Here is a 17,037-nt window from a genome sequence, read left to right on the forward strand (position 1 = left end):
CAGGAGGAAAGGCAGGCCATAAAGACAAGGAGCTCTATATCTTTTCCTCAGGAAACTGCCTTTATTTGGAACAGAGCATAGAGAATTCCATGACTTAAGAGCATTTTTAAAAATTATGGAGATCTTGGCAGAAAGTGATTTAAAAAGGCTGGTAGCTCTATGAAGTATGCAAAATGGCAGAGCAACCAAAGGTTTAATAGAGAGTGACAGAGAAAAAGATAACCAAAAAGAGCCCTCTTGGGATCATAGTCAATTCTTGGGGGCAGGAAGACTGTGCACATGTGCTTTCAGAAACAACCAGAGATCCCAGCACTCTGGGAGGCCGAGGCGGGCGGATCACAAGGTCAGGAGATCAAGACCATCCTGGCTAACACAGTGAAACCCCGTCTTTACTAAAAAATACAAAAAATTAGCCGGGCGTAGTGGCGGGCGCCTGTAGTCCCAGCTACTCGGGAGGCTGAGGCAGGAGAATGGCGTGAACCCAGGAGGCGGAGCTTGCAGTGAGTCCAGATCGCACCACTACACTCCAGCACTCTAGCCTGGGCTGTCGCCCACGTCTCAAAAAAACAATCAAAGCAGGATATGGAAAGACTTGAAGCATCCCCACAAAGTGCACAGGCCCATCAACACAAGGCAGAGCCCGCACTGCCACAGGCTTAAGAACAGCTTCTGATCAAACACAAATCAAACAATAACATGCTCTAACCTGGGAGCTGCTCCTAGGAGGATAAATATAAAATAGAATCACACTAGTTCCAGACAGTCTGTATGACTGTATATGCCCAAAGCTACTTCCTTCTTGACAAAGTTTGGAAAGATAACTTTCAAGATACTTGGCTGTGGCAAAAACACAGGGCAACAAATATAAACTCCCTGAACTCTGATAGCAGCCTCCAGGCCACCAGCCCTTGATGAGTAAGTGGCTTATGCAAACCCAAGGATGATCCCTAGGGAATGAGGCCAAGAGCTAAAACAAGGGAAAGAAATCTGTGCAGGGACATCAGAGGCTGCACACTTGGAGGGAATTAGAATTTGCAGAATTGGTTTAATTAAGTAATTAATCAAATAAGCAAAGGACCCAGCAAACAAGAAGAACAACCCCCCCCAACAGTATTCAGTATCCAGATTTGCTAAAAATAAACCTAAAATGTCTAGCTTTCAATAAAAAAATTATCAGATATGCAAAGAAACGGGAAAATGTAACCCAAACACAGGAAAAAGTAGCAGGCAATAAAAACTGCCTTTGAAGATATCCTAATGGTAGGATGGCGAATTTAGCAGACGAAGACTTCAAAAAAGCTATCATAAAGATATTCAAAGACTAAAAGAAGTCATGTTTACGAATTAAAGGAAGGTCTGATGATGATGCCTTATTAAATAGAGAATCAATAAAGAAAAAATACTTAAAAGAAACAAATTGAATTTTGGAGTTGAAAAGTAAAAAAAGAAAAAGCCCAAATGAAAAATTTTAGCTGGCAGAGGAAAGAATCAGCAAACTGAAGATAGATCAATAGAAATTAGGCAATCTGAAGAACAGAGAGGAAAAATAATTAAACGAAAAACTTAAGGAAATAAAGGGCACTATTAAGCGCACACACACACACAAATACGTGTAATGAGTGTACCAGAGGTAAGAGGAAAAGGATAGAAAAAAATATCAAAAAAATTATGTCTGGAAATTCCCTAAATATGAAGAAAAACATTAATTTTCACTTCCAAGAAGCTCAACAAAATCTAAGTAGGACAGATGGAAAGAGATAGACAACCGGACACATTATTGTCAAAATGTTGAAAGATAGATGCAAATCTTGAAAGCAGCAAGAGAAAAATAACTCATCATGTACAAGGGAAGTCCAGTAACATGAAGAATTAACTTCTCAAAAACAATGAAGGTCAAAGGCATTGCAAGTCATAACCAAAGTGCCGAAAGTAAGAAAAAAATCAAATAGAAAGATAATGAGAAGGGTTGGTGAGGATGTTGGGAAACTGACACTCTCATACTTTGCTAATGGGAAGGTAAACGCAGCTGCTTTGGGAAACATTTCAGCAGTTTCTTTACCTGTTAAACAGATACCATATGACCTAGCAATTCTACTCAGCTATGTATATTCAAGAGAACGAAAACATAGATCCACACAAACCTTGTATGTAAGTGTTCATAATAGCATTATTCGTAATATCCAAAAAGTGTAAATTACTCATATATCTATCAACTGATGATTGGATAAAGTGTGTTAAATCCATAAAATAGGCTATTATTTGCCTATACAGAGGAAAAGTACTGATGTATGCTAAACACAGATGAATTTTGGAAATATTATGCTAAGCATATTATATTATTTCGTTTATAGGATATGTCCAGAATATGCAACTTTATTGATAGAAATAAGAATATTCACTGCCTAGCACTGGGGGTGAGGGTGGGCAAATGTGGAGTGACAGCTAAAGGGCAGGAGGCTAGGGAGAAAGAAAATGGTTTTTTTTGTTGTTGTTTTGAGATGGAGTCTCGCTCTGTCATCCAGGTTGGAGTGCAGTGGCGCTATCTTGGCTCACTGCAACCTCTGCCTCCCGGGTTCAAGCGATACTCCTGCCTCAGCCTCCTGAGTAGCTGGGATTAGCTGGGATTACAGGCATGTGCCACCACACCTGGCTAATTTTTGTATTTTTAGTAGAGACGGGGTTTCACCATGTTGGTCAGGCTGGTCTCGAACTCCTTACCTTGTGATCCACCTGCCTCAGCCTTCTAAAGTGCTGGGATTACAGGCGTGAGCCACCGTGCCCGGCTAGAAAATGTTTTAGGGTCAGATTTTGTGGTAATGGTTACACAATCCTATGAATATACTAAAAATGTTTGAATTTTACACGTCAAATGAGTGAATAGTATGTTCACTATATCTCAATAAAGCTGTTTTTTAAAAAACAATTGTGATCTGTGAAGGCAATGGTATACATCTGTTTAAAATTCACTTCTCTTTTCCATAGTTCTTAATTATGTCCCTTGTATCCTATTTTTGTACCTCACTCCTGAGATACTCAACAGATAAAATTGATCACTACTTTTACTACTACTGTTTATAATAGCAGATAAAATTGAACTATTTTTATAAAAGGACATTTTCAATATATTGTCTGCTTGGTTATCTATGTGCATTGAAAAAAGTCTAGCTTTATGTACATGATAGTCATGAAACTGATACTCAGGAAAATTTGTATTTCCCATTTCTTTGGCTAGCTACAAACCAGATGTAATAATCTTATTACCTATTCCATAGCTCCCATAAAATATATGTTTCCTCCCTTTTCAGAGGTAGACTCTGCTAGTGTTCAACATTTGTGCATCACTTTGCTTTTAAATGGCCTATCTTTAGTGGTCTCCCCTAACAGCCATTATCAGGATCAGTGTTTATGAAATGCCTGCTACTGTTCACCTTGCTAGTGATCTTTGAGTCTATTAAGAGGGAGGAACAAATTAGTTTTGCAGACATTTTTCCTGCATACCGAGGTCCCAAAATAATATTGTGGGAGTCCTGGGATTAACACTCAGTTCTCTCATCTCAACTGCACCATAGTTTACTCACTTATATCGTTTCGCTGTAGGAAATGGTAAGCAGAAATATCTCACTGCACCTCCAGTCTGTAATGTGTTTGTTGAGCTCTGCATATTTTAGCAAACTCTGAGGGTTACAGCTCTATAGGTAAAGTCATGCCACCCCTAGGCCTACATTTCAACTACTTTGCCATTGGGAGCACTCCATCTGGAGTTCCTTTTTACCAGTTTTTTTCATTCCATGCTGTTCTACTAATTCTTCCGTCTTTCGTGTCTTTGCTATGTGGTGGGCTCTACTGCTTGTAACTTGAGGAAAACAATCAAACATTATTTTTACTTTCTAGGAGGGTGATGGAGAGGTTAACTATCAAAGTTTATGTTTTATTTTGCATACCTGAATTTTACAAAGTAATAATAAACCAGTTCCAACCCAGCTGTTGTTAGGACATTTTCCATATCTATAAATCATAAATGTTTCAAAACTGGTGTCATTCTTCTTGTTAGAGACTGAGGATAAGAGTAGGTATGAAATTTTGTGAGCACAGGTGATATTTTCCTCATCCTTATTTTCCACATGATTGGAAGAAAAGAGACTGAAAGAAAACCCTATGTACTAACCAAAATTGTTTCCTTAATGTCTCTGAAAATGTACGTGCATTTTCAAACATGTTGAAGAAATAAAAGATGACCACATCTCCGTAGCAACTCCTTTATAATATTAATATTCTTTCCTTGTTCCTCTTCCCAACATGTATGTACCCACAGAAAGCCTCATATAAGACTCAAAATTGCTTAGGTTTTAAAAAAAATTTTCAGATTAAAAAAAATCCAACCTTGCTTTTAGTTAATAGCTGCATAGATGTTAGATTTTCAAAATGACAAGTGGAAAATTTTCCCATTCACTCACATTAGGCCAACCATATTTACTGTATCAACAGTATGAATTTCCAGTGTGTCAACAGGTTATTTTAAAGAAGGTCTTTCATGAGATTTCTCTCTCTGCAGACTATGAATCATGCAAATTAACCCATCACTAGAGATATCTGAGTGTGTGTGTGTACATATATTTTCTGTGTAATAAATTGAGGCTATAAAACTGTTCTGTCCCCAAAAAGGAAACTACAGCATTCTGTGACTGTATGTGTTGGAGTATGTATTGCTTGGAGGAAAAAATAAGCAGATATCAGCAACCAGAAATAGAAAGCTATATGCTTACATCACGGATAAAATAACCCATAAACCATTCCTGATTCAGCACCCAATATCTTGCTAGCTACACACTGTTAAAATGTCTCCATATACCTAAAGTTGTCTATCCTGGAAATGTCAAACTTCTGTCTACCATAGATAAAATTATCAGGCAACATTTATTATTTTTTCAGATTTTTTATGACATTTATTACAATCCAGAATTATTCATTTGTTGTCTCTCATTGCCTTCCCAAACCAGAATGTAAATTTTGCAGGAAAAGGGACCATATCTGTTTTGCTCATCCCTATGTCCCTAACAACTTGTACCTGTCATACCACAAGTGCTTAATAAATATGCAAATAAATATGCGCTGTAAAAATATCGTATGCATTTGGAGAGAGAGATTGTAGACTGATTAGTCCATTATATATTAAAAAATAATTTATTAATGAAATCCCTTTCCCCCAATTTTTCCTCTCAGAATGTTTTTAATGTTAATTACTCTTAATTTGTACTTCACTAAGTTTATAAGTTCTTCTCAGATTTAAGACTTTTTGAGACACACACAGACATACACCCTGCAAGTGTAATTTTGGTAAAAGAATCACTGATACTGAAGCACAGGGTTTCAAACATATATTTTCAAAACCTCCATCATCTTTCCAGTTTTAAAATTTCCTCCTAAGGTCTTATAATATTTATTTTATTCAAACTGGGTTAAACTTCTTAATTGTAAAGATGTCTACATCTGTTTCTACGTAGGCTTTAATCTGATATAAAGTTTCTGATTCTCCCTCCCTATCCATCCCTCTCCAATTCTCTCTCTTTTTCTCCTTCTTTCTCCTCCCCATTATGGTTATATTAGAATTAGAATATTGCTCTCTTTTTTGCTTTTTTTTAAACTTTTTTTCTTCACTGCTTCATAAGAGCAGAGAAAGAAGATAGAATTACAGACCCATTTAATTTGCAGTTTATTAATGGCTTCCCTTACAGATGTAGGTGACAGAAAATTTGGAGGAGTTTGAGAATAACATATATGGATAAAAATGCACTATTTGACCATCATGCTCATAAGATTCTTATGCTTATAGAGAATAGATTATTCGGTTTAATTGCTTATACCACTGTCCACTCCAAGGGAGCTCTATTTGGGCAGTGGCTGGGAACTATTCACACCAGTGATTAGTTTACCACTTGTGTTCCTTCAGGTCAGAACCAAATTGCTATCTACCAACTGTCAAGGGAAAATGTGCCAGAATAGGTAGGTTTTCCATTTCTCCACCTGGCTGGCTTACCAGTTGGATGAGTAAAGGATAAATAGTGAAGACCATTCAGAGGGGATTAGAGGATAGAAGAGATGACACTTGTGAAACGGCATTGCACCTCTTAGCACACAGATGGGGTATATGTATTTAGGTTTTGGCATTATTTCTCCCTGTTCAAACCTGCTGTTGTATCTGGGAAGGGTTATTTATCCAATGCTTTGTACTTTAAATTTCCACTAGTGTCTCTGAAATTTATTAATGGTGGATCTCTTCCTTGACTGTGCATTACAATCATTGGGAAGCTTTTACAATATAATGCCTGAGTCCCAATAAAGATAAATTGTATCTCTGGGGTAAGGATCTAGATATTGGAATATTCTTTGAAAGCCTTCCCAAAGTGACTCTAATATACAGTCAATATTGAGTCCTGCAGTTATGATATGGGAATAATCTAAGTTTACTTTGCGTATATGAAGAAAATAATTATCTCTCTGATGATATCCAGTTACTATATGAAGACTAAGAATATACCAAAGGAGGATCAAGATGATTGCCAGTTACAGAGAACTCAAGCAAGTTGGATAGCTGGAAACTGCAATGGCATTAATCAGTTGATTTATCATGCTTGCATGCAAATAGGCATTGATTCATTCAATACAGATTTGTTAATGGTCACAGTTTACAGTACTTGACATGGGTGAATAAAAGAGGAATAGATACAATACTCTTGACTTTAATATCACATTCAAGTAATGAACATAGATATGTAAACAATTACAGAATCTACTTAATGATATAATTATGTCTAAAATATATAAGCAGCACAGAAAAGGAGTGATTAATTCTGTCTTCAGGGAAAGGAAGAGGAGAAAAGAAGCTTCTTTTAGGTGGTAGTGGTTATGCTGAGTTTTGAAAATGAATATTAATTTCTAGGCATTCCAGTGAATGTGGCCGGAAAGATCATTTCGGGAAGAGGGGGCAGCATGTGAAAGGGCACAGATCATGATATATTTAGGGATCTAAATTATTTTTTTGCCATTGCAGAACCAAGAGTTATTGAAGTGGTGGGAGATGGATAGATAAATTATATAAGGCCTAACATTCTATATTAAAGAATTTGAACTTTATAGAAAATAAAGAATCAGTAAAAATCTTAACTCCAGGTGAGAGACATGATGGGACTTACAAAATGCTGGCAGTTTTGATATATTTTGAGAAGGAGTGAGATAAGAAGTGGTGAAAAGTAGTTAGAAAGCTGTTTCAACAGTCTGACTAAAAGTCGATGAGGTTTTGAATAATGCAGATTTTCAAAGTAAAAATAATTTTTTATAAGAATCACTCAAGATTTGGATATAAGAGATGAAAGAAAGAAACCTAAGGTGAGTCAGTCTTCTCTCCCCTTCCTCCCTTCCTTTCTTTCTCCCTTCCTTCCTTCCTTTCTTCCTTCCTTCCTCTCTCTTTTCTTTTTCTCTTTCTTTTCTTTCTTTCTCTTTCTTTTTCTTTTTCTTTCTTTCTTTCTGTCTTCCTTTCTCTCTTTCTTTCTTTCCTTCCTTCCTTTCTTCCTTCCTTTTCGTTCTTTCTCTTTCTTTCCTTTCCTTTCCTCTTTCCTTTCTCCTTTCCTTTCCTTTCCCTCTTTCTCTCCCTGTCTCTCTTTCTCTTTCTCTGTCCCTCTTTCTCTTTCTTTCTTTTTCTCAATTATAGTAGGAACACTTAACATGAAATCTACCCTCAACAAATTTTACAGTTTAAAATTGGTATTGTTAATTATAGGCATAGTCTTGTACAGCAGATCTCTAGAATTTATTAATCTTATACAACTGAAAGTTTATACTAGTTGAACAGCAACTGCCTGTTTCTCCCTCCTTTCAGCCCTGGAAACCACCATTCTACTCTGTATTTTTCCATGTTTGTGACTATTTTATATACCTCATTTAAGTGGAATTATGCAATATTTGTCCTGCTGTGATTGGCTTATTTCACTTAGCATATTAATGTCCTCCAGGTTCATTAATATTGTCATGTGTGGCAGAGTTTCTCTTTTTATTTTATTCATTTATTTTTTATTATACTTTAAGCTCTGAGATACATGTGCAGAATGTGCAGGCTTGTTACATAAGGATACATGTGCCATGGTGGTTTGCTGCACCCATCAACCTGTCATCTACATTAGGTATTTCTCCTAATGCTATCCCTCCCCTCGCTCCCCACCCCGCAACAGGCCCCAGCGTGTGATGTTCCCCTCCCTGTGTCCGATGTTCCCCTCCCTGTGTCCATGTGTTCTCATTGTTCAACTCCCACTTTTGAGTGAGAACATGCAGTGTTTGGTTTTCTGTTCCTGTGTTAGTTTGATGAGAATGATGGTTTCCAGCTTCATCCTGCAAAGGACATGAACTCATTCTTTTTTAAGGCTGCATAGTATTCCATGGTGTATATGTGCCACATTGTCTTTATCCAGTCTATCATTGATGGACATTTGGGTTGGTTCCAAATCTTTGCTATTGTGAATAATGCCGCAATAAATATACATGTGCATGTGACTTTATAGTAGAATGATTTATAATCCTTTGGGTGTATACCCAGTGATGGGATTGCTGGGTCAAATGGTATTTCTAGTTCTAGGTCCTTGAGGAATTGCCACACTGTTTTCCACAATGGTTGAACTAATTTACACTCCCACCAACAGTGTAAAAGTGTTTCTGTTTCTCCACATCCTCACCGGCATCTGTTGTTTCCTGACTTTTTAATGATCGACATTCTAACTGGTGGGATATGATATCTCATTGTGGTTTTGATTTGCATTTCTCTAATGACCAGTGATGATGAGCTTTTTTTCATATGTTTGTTGGCTGCATAAATGTCTTCTTTTGAGAAATGTCTGTTCATATCCTTTGCCCACTTTTTTATGGTTTTATATTTTTTTTTTGGTAAATTTGTTTAAGTTTCTTGTAGATTCTGGATATTAGCCCTTTGTCAGATGGATAGATTGCACAGTTTTTCTTCTATTCTGTAGGTTGCCTGTTCACTCTGATGATAGTTTCTTTTGCTGTGCAGAAGCTCTTTGGTTTGATTAGATCTCGTTTGTGAATTTTGGCTTTTGTTGCAAGTATTTTTGATGTTTTAGTCATGAAGTCTGTGCCCATGCCTGTGTTCTGAATGGTATTGCCTAGGTTTTCTTCTAGGGTTTTCATAGTTTTAGGTCTTACGTTTAAGTCCTTAATCCATTTTGAGTTAATTTTTTTATAAGGTATAAGGAAGGGGTCTAGTTTCAGTTTAATGCATATGGCTAGCCAGTTTTCCCAACACCATTTATTAAATAGGGAATCGTTTCCCCATTGCTTGTTTTTCTCAGATTTGTCAAAAATCAGATGGTTGTAGAGTGTGGTGTTGTTTCTGAGGCCTCTGTTCTGTTTCGGTACCAGTACTATGCTGTTTTGGTTACTGTAGCCTTGTAGTATAGTTTGAAGTCAGGTATCATGATGCCTCCAGCTTTGTTCTTTTTGCTTAGAGGCTATACAGACTCTTTTTTGGTTCCATGTGAAATTTTAGGTAGTTTTTTCTAATTATGTGATGAAAGTCAATGGTTGCTTAATGAGAATATCATTGAATCTATAAATTACTTTGGGCAGTGTGGCCATTTTTCATGATATTGATTCTTCCTATCCGTGAGCATGGAATGTTTTTCCATTTGTGTCCTCTCTTATTTCCTTGTGTAGTCGTTTATAGTTTTCCTTTAAGAGGTCCTTCACATCCCATGTAAGTTGTATTCCTAAGTATTTTATTCTCTTTGCAGCAATTGTGAATGGGAGTTCACTCCTGATTTGGCTGTTTGTCTGTTATTGGTGTATAGGAATGCTTGTGATTTTTGCACACTGATTTTGTATCCTGAGACTTTGCTGAAGTTGTTTATCAGCTTAAGGAGTTTTTGGGCTGAGATGATGGGGTTGTCGAAATGTACAATTATGTCTTATGCAAACAGGGATGATTTGACTTCTTCTCTTCCTGTTTGAATACCCTTTATTTCCTTCTCTTGCCTGATTGCCCTGGCCAGAACTTGCAATACTATGTTGAATAGGAGTGGTGAGAGAGGGCACCCTTGCGTAATGCTGGTTTTCAAAGGGAATGCTTCCAGCTTTTGCCCATTCAGTATGATATTGGCTGTGGGTTTGTCATAAATAACTTTTATTATTTTGAGATACATTCCATCAATACCTAGTTTATTGTAATATTTTTAGCATGAAGGGGTGTTGATTTTTATCAAAGGCCTTTTCTGCATCTATTGAGATAATCATGTGGTTTTTGCCATTGGTTCTGTTTATGTGATGGATTCTGTTTGTTAACCTGAGTATGCTGAACCAGACTTTCATTCCAGGGATGAAGCCCACTTGATCATGGTGGATAAACTTTCTGATGTGCTGCTGGATTTGCTTTGCCAGTATTTTATTGAGGATTTTTGCATCAATGTTCATCAGGGATATTGGCCTGAAATTTTCTTTTCTTGTGTCTCTGCCAGGTTTTGGTATGAGGATGATGCTGGCCTCATAAAATGAGTTAGGGAGGAGTTCCTCTTTTTCTACTATTTGGATTAGTTTCAGAAGGAATGGTACCAGCTCCTCTTTGTACCTCTGGTAGAATTCGGCTGTGAATCCTTCTGGTCCTGGGCTTGTTTTTGTTGGTAGACTATTAATTACTGCCTCAATTTCGGAACTTGTTATTGGTCTATTTAGGGATTTGACTTTTTCCTGGTTTAGTTTTGGGAGGGTATATGTATCCAAGAATTTATCCATTTCTTCTAGATTTTCTAGTTTATTTGTGTAGAGGTGTTTATAGTATTCTCTGATGGTAGTTTGTCCACGGGATCGGTGGTGATATCCCCTTTATCATTCTTTTATTGTGTCTATTTGATTCTTTTCTCTTTTCTTCTTTATTAGTATCTTCTTTATTGGTATCTATTTTGTTAATCTTTTCAAAAAACCAGCTCCTGGATTCATTCCTTATTTGAAGGGTTTTTTGTGTCTCTATCTCCTTCATTTCTGCTCTGATCTTAGTTATTTCTTGTCTTCTGCTAGCTTTTGAACTTGTTTGTGCTTGCTTCCCTAGTTCTTGTAATTGTGATGTTAGGGTGTTGATTAGATCTTTCCTGCTTTCTCCTGTGGGCATTTAGTGCTATAAATTTCCCTCTATACACTGCTTTAGCTGAGTCCTAGAGATTCTGGTACATTGTGTCTTTGTTCTCACTGGTTTCAAAGAACTTATTTATTTCTGCCTTAATTTTGTTATTTACCCAGTAGTCATTCAGGAGTAGGTTGTTCAGTTTCCATGTGATTGTGTGGTTTTGAGTGAGTTTCTTAATCCTGAGTTCTAATTTGATTGCACTGTGGTCTGAGAGTCTGTTTGTTATTATTTCCATTCTTTTGCATTTGCTGAGGAGTGTTTTACTTCCAATTGTGTGGTCAATTTTACATTAAAAGTGCTATGTGGTGCTGAGAAGAAAATATATTCTGTTGATTTGGGGTGTAGAGTTCTATAGATGTCTATTAGGTCCACTTGGTCCAGAGTTTAGTTCAAGTCCTGAATGTCCTTGTTAATTTTCTGTCTCGTTGATGTAATATTAACAGTGGGGTGTTATATTCTCCCACTATTATTTGTGGGAGTGTAAGCCTCTTTGTAGGTCTCTAAGAACTTGATTTATGAATCTGGGTGCTCCTATATAGGATGCATATATATTTAGGATAGTTAACTTTTAGTGTTGTATTGATCCCTTTACCAGTATGTAATGCCCTTCTTTGTCTTTTTTGATCTTTGTTGGTTTAAAGTCTGTTTTATCAGAGACTAGGTTTTCAACCCCTGCTTTTTTTTTTTTTTTTTGCTTTCCATTTGCTTGGTAAATATTCCTCCATCCCTTTATTTTGAGCCTATGTGTGTCTTTACACGTAAGATGGGTCTCCTGAATACAGCACACTGATGGGTCTTTACTCTTTATCCAGTTTACCAGTCTGTGTCTTTTAATTGGGCATTTAGCCCATTTACATTTAAGGTTAATATTGTTATGTGTGAATTTGATCCTGTCATTATGATGATAGCTGGTTATTTTGCCCGTTAGTTGATGCAGTTTCTTCATAGTGTTGATGGTCTTTACAATTTGGTATGTTTTTGCAGTGGCTGGTACCTATTGTTCCCTTCCATGTTTACTGCTTCCTTCAGGAGCTCTTGTAAGGCATACCTGGTGGCAACAAAATCTCTCAGCACTTGCTTGTCTGTAAAGGATTTTATTCTCCTTTGCTTATGAAACTTAGTTTGGCTGGATATGAAGTTCTGGGTAGAAAATTCTTTTATTTAAGAATGTTGAATGTTGGCCCCTATTCTCTTCTGGCTTGTAGGGTTTCTGCAGAGAGATCTGCTGTTAGTCTGATGGGCTTCCCTTTGTGGGTAACGTGACCTTTCTCTCTGGCTGCCCTTCACATTGTTCCTTCATTTCAGCCTTGGTGAATCTGACGATTATGTGTCTTGGGGTTGCTTTCCTTGAGGAGTTTCTTTGTGGTGTTCTCTATTTCCTGAATTTGAATGTTGGCCTGTCTTGCTAGGTTGGGGAAGTTCTTCCTGAAGTGTGTTTTCCAACTTGGTTTTATTCTCCCTGTCACTTTCAGGTCACCAATCAAACGTAGGTTTGGTCTTTTCACATAGTCCCATATTTCTTGGAGGCTTTGTTTGTTCCTTTTCATTGTTTTTTCCTCTAATCTTGTCTTCATGCTTTATTTCATTATGTTGATCTTCAGTCTCTGATATCCTTTCTTCCACTTGATCAATTAGGCTATTGATACTCTTGTATGCCTCACAAAGTTCTCGTGCTGTGTTTTTCAGCTCCATCAGGTCATTTGTGTTCTTCTCTAAACTGGTTATTCAAGTTAACCGTTCCTGTAACCTTTTATCAAGGTTCTTAGCTTCCCTGCATTGGGTTAGAATATGCTCCTTTAGCTTGGAGGAGTTTGTTATTACCCAGTGGCTTCTGAAGCCTACTTCTGTCAGTTCGTCAAAGTCATTCTCCATCCTGTTTTGTTCCCTTGCTGGTGAGGAACTGTGACTTTGGAGAAGAAGTAGCATTCTGATCTTTGGAATTTTCAGCATTTTTGCGCTGGTTTTTCCTCATCTTCGTGGATTTATCTACCTTTGGTCTTTGACGTTGGTGACCTTTGGTTGGGGTTTTTGCCTGGGCATCCTTTTTGTTGATGTTGATGTTATTGCTTTCTGTTTGTTAGTTTTCCTTCTAATATTCAGGCCCCTCTTCTTTTTTTTTTTTTTTTTTTTTTGTTTTTTTGAGATGGAGTGTCGCTCTGTCGCCCAGATTGGAGTGCGGTGGCCCAATCTCAGCTCACTGCAAGCTCTGCCTCCCAGGTTGAGGCCATTCTCCTGCCTCAGCCTCCCAACCAGCTGGGACTACAGGCACCCACCACCATGCCTGGCTAATTTTTTATATTTTTAGTAGAGACGAGGTTTCACTGAGTTAGTCAGGATGGTCTCGATCTCCAGTCAGGCCTCTCTTCTGCAGGTCTGCTAGAGTTTGCTGGAGGTCCACTCCAGACCCTGTTTGCCCAGGTATTACCATTGGAGGCTGCACAACAGCAAAGATTGTTGCCTGCTCCTTCCTTTGGAAGCTTCGTCCCAGAGGGGGACCCACCAGATGCCGGCCAGAACTCTCCTGTATGAGGTGTCTGTTGACCCCTGCTGGGAGGTGTCTCCCAGTCAGGAGGCATGGGGATCAGGGATCCATTTGAGGAGGCAGTCTGTCCCTTAGGAGAGCTCGAGTGCTGTGCTAGGAGATCCATTGCTCTCTTCAGAGTCGGCAAGCAGGAATGTTTAAATCTGCTGAAGCTGCACCCACAGCCACCCTTTCCCCCAGGTGCTCTGTCCCAGATAGATGGCAGTTTTATCAATAAGCCCCTTACTGAGGCTGCTGCCTTTCTTTCAGAGATGCCTTTGCCCAGAGAGGAAGAATCTAGAGAGGCAGTCTGGCTACAGTGACTTTGCCGCACTGTAGTGGGTTCAGCCCAATTCGAACTTCCTGGTGGCTTTGTTTACAAGGTGAGGGGAAAACCATCTACTCAAGCCTCAGTAATGGCAGACGCCACTCCCCGCACCAAGCTCCAGCCTCCTAGTTTGACTTCAGACTGCTGTACTGGCAGCGAGAATTTCCAGCCGGTGCATCTTAGCTTGCTGGGCTCCATGGATTGGGACCTGCTGAGCAAGACCCCTTGGCTCCCTGGCTTCAGCCCCCTTTCCAGGGGAGTGAATGGTTCCGTCTCACTGGTGTTCCAGGTGCCACTTGGGTATGAAAAAGAAAAACTCCTGCAGCTAGCTCTGTGTCTTCCCAAATGGTCGCCCAGTTTTGTGTTTGAAACCCAGGGCCATGGTGGTGTAGGCACCCGAGGGAGTCTCCTGGTCTGTGTGTTGTGAAGACTGTGGGAAAAGCATAGTATCTGGGCCAGATAGTATCATACCTCATGGCACAGTCCCTTATGGCTTCCCTTGGCTAAGGGAGGGAGTTCCCCAACCCATTGCACTTCCTGGGTGAGGCAACACCCCACCCTGCTTCTGCTCACCCTCTGTGGGCTGCACCCACTGTCTAACCAGTCCCAGTGAGATAAGCTGGGTACCTCAGTTGGAAATGCAGAAATCACCCACCTTCTGCATTGGTCTCGCTGGGAGCTGCAGAATGGAGCTGTTTCTATTCAGCCATCTTGTCAGCTGCCCCAGAATTTCTCTTTTTAAAGGCTGAATAATATTCCATTGCATGCATAAACCACATTTTCTTTATCTATTCATGCATTGATCAACATTTAAGTTGCTTCCATATCTTGGTTATTGTGGACAATGCAGTGAACATGGGAGTGTAGCTATCTCTTTGAGATACTGATTTCAATTCTTTTGGATATACACATGGAACTGTGATTGCTGGATTATACAGTAGTTCTACTTTTAATTATTTGAGGAACTTCCGTACTATTTTTCAGAGTTGCTGAACCGTGTTACATCTCCACCAGTAGTGTAGAAGGGTCTCAATTTCTTCACATCCTCAGCAACACTTGTTGTGTTTTGCTTTTCTAAGTAATAGCAATCCCAGTATCCTAATGAGATGATAACTTATTGTGGCTTTAATTTGCATTTACCTGATAATTAGTGATGTCGAGAACCTATTTAGAAAAATGTCTATTTGTGTCATTTACCCACTTTTTAATCAGGTTATTTGTTTTTTATATTTGCTATTGAGTTGTAAGAATTTCTTATATTAACCATTCATCAGATGTGGTTTGCAAATATTTTCTCCATTCCATAGGTTACCTTTTCACTCTATTGACTGTTTCCTTTGCTGTGCAGAAGCATTTTAGTTTGATGCTGTCTCACTTGTTAATTTTTGCTTTTGTATAAAGCTTGTGCTTTTGGTGTCATATCTAAGAAATTATTGCCAACTTCAATGTCAGGAGTTTTTTTCCCTAGGTTTTATTCTAGGAATTTTACAGTTGCACATCTTACATTTAAATCTTTAATCCATTTTGAGTTGATTATGTGTATGGTGTAACAGAAGCCTTCAGTTTCATTCTTTTGCATGTGAATATCCAGTTTTCCAACATTTTTTAATGGAGGAGACTCTCCTTTCCTCATTGTGTACTGTTAACACCATCATAGATTAGTTGACTATATATGACTGGGTTTGTTTCTGGGCCATTCTGTTCAATTGGTCTATGTGTCTGTTTTATGTCAGTACCATATAATTTTGATTAATGCAGACTTGTAATATTCCAAAATGTGGAAGTGTGACACCTTCAGCTTTGTTCTTGCTCAAATTTACTTTGTTATTTGGGAGTTTTTGTGGTTCCATATTAATTCTAAGATTGTTTTTTCTATTTCTGTAAAAACTACTATTGAGATTTCTGATAGGGATTTCATCACATCTGGAGACTGCTTTGGGTAGTATGGATATTTTAATAATATAAATTCTTCCCATCCGTGGATACAGGTTACCTTCTCATTTATTTGTGTCTTATGTTAATTTCTTTTATCAATGTTTTATAGTTTTCAGTATGTACGTCTTATTACCACCTTGGTTAAGTTTATTGGTTAAGTATTTTATTCTTTAGATGCTATTGTAAATGGGACTGTTTTCCTAATTTCCTTTCCAGATAGTTCATTGTTAGTGTCTAGAAATACAACTAGTTTTTATATGTTGGTTTGCATCCTGCAACTCTGCAACTTTACTGAACATTTTCTAGTTCTAACAGTTTTTTTTTTTTTGATGTGATCTTTAGGGTTTTCTACATGTAAAATCATGACATCTGCAAACAAAGGTAATTTTACCCCTTCCTTTTCTATTTCTTTCTTTCTTTCTTTTATTATTATTATTATTATTGCCTAATTATCCTGGCTAGGACTTTCAGTACTGTGTTAACTGGATGTGGCAAGAGTGGGCATCCATTTATTGTTTGTGATCTTAGAGAAAAAGCTTTCAATTTTTCACCATTGAGTAGTGGTGGCCTTTGATTATGTTGAGGTAAATTTTTTCTATACCTAGCTTGTTGAGAGTTTTCATGATGAAAGGAAGTCAAATTTTATCAAATGCTTTTCTGCATCTATTGAGATAATGATGTGGGGTTTTTTTGTTTGTTTTTTTTTGTTTGTTTGTTTTGGTTTTTTAGATGGAGTTTTGCTCTTGTTGCCCAGGCTGGAGTGCAATGGAGTGGTCTTGGCTCACTGCAACCTCCACCTCCTGGGTTCAAGTGATTCTCCTGTCTCAGCTTCCTATATACCTGGGATTACAAGCACCTGCCACCACGCCTGGCTAATTTTTTGTATTTTTAGTAGAGACAGGGGTTCTCTATGTTGGCCAGGCTAGTCTCGAACTCCTGACCTCAGGTGCTCCACCCACCTCGGCCTCCCAAAGTGCTGGGATTACAGGTGTGAGCCACCATGCCCGGCCAATGATGTGATTTTTATCCTTCATTCTGTTAATGTAGTGCATCACATTAATTGCATTGGTTGTGTTG

At 38.2% G+C, this 17,037-nt stretch overlaps 1 long non-coding RNA gene across 1 annotated transcript in view, besides 1 other annotated feature; it reads left to right on the top strand.

Moving 5' to 3' along the window:
• The window catches only part of LOC105375158 (uncharacterized), a 130,320-nt gene that overhangs the window by 57,004 nt on the left and 56,279 nt on the right, over positions 1-17,037 (top strand). The gene's annotated exons all lie outside the window — the stretch shown is intronic.
• Positions 1,850-2,050: a silencer, noted in NCBI's record as "peak6391 fragment used in MPRA reporter construct". NCBI's record gives its function as "represses an SCP1 promoter by STARR-seq MPRAs in K562 erythroleukemia cells {active_cell/tissue: K562}" and the evidence as "EXISTENCE:reporter gene assay evidence [ECO:0000049][PMID:32103011]".

The sequence above is a fragment of the Homo sapiens genome, chromosome 7 (genome assembly GCF_000001405.40).
Source record: "Homo sapiens chromosome 7, GRCh38.p14 Primary Assembly".
Taxonomy (NCBI): domain Eukaryota; kingdom Metazoa; phylum Chordata; class Mammalia; order Primates; family Hominidae; genus Homo; species Homo sapiens.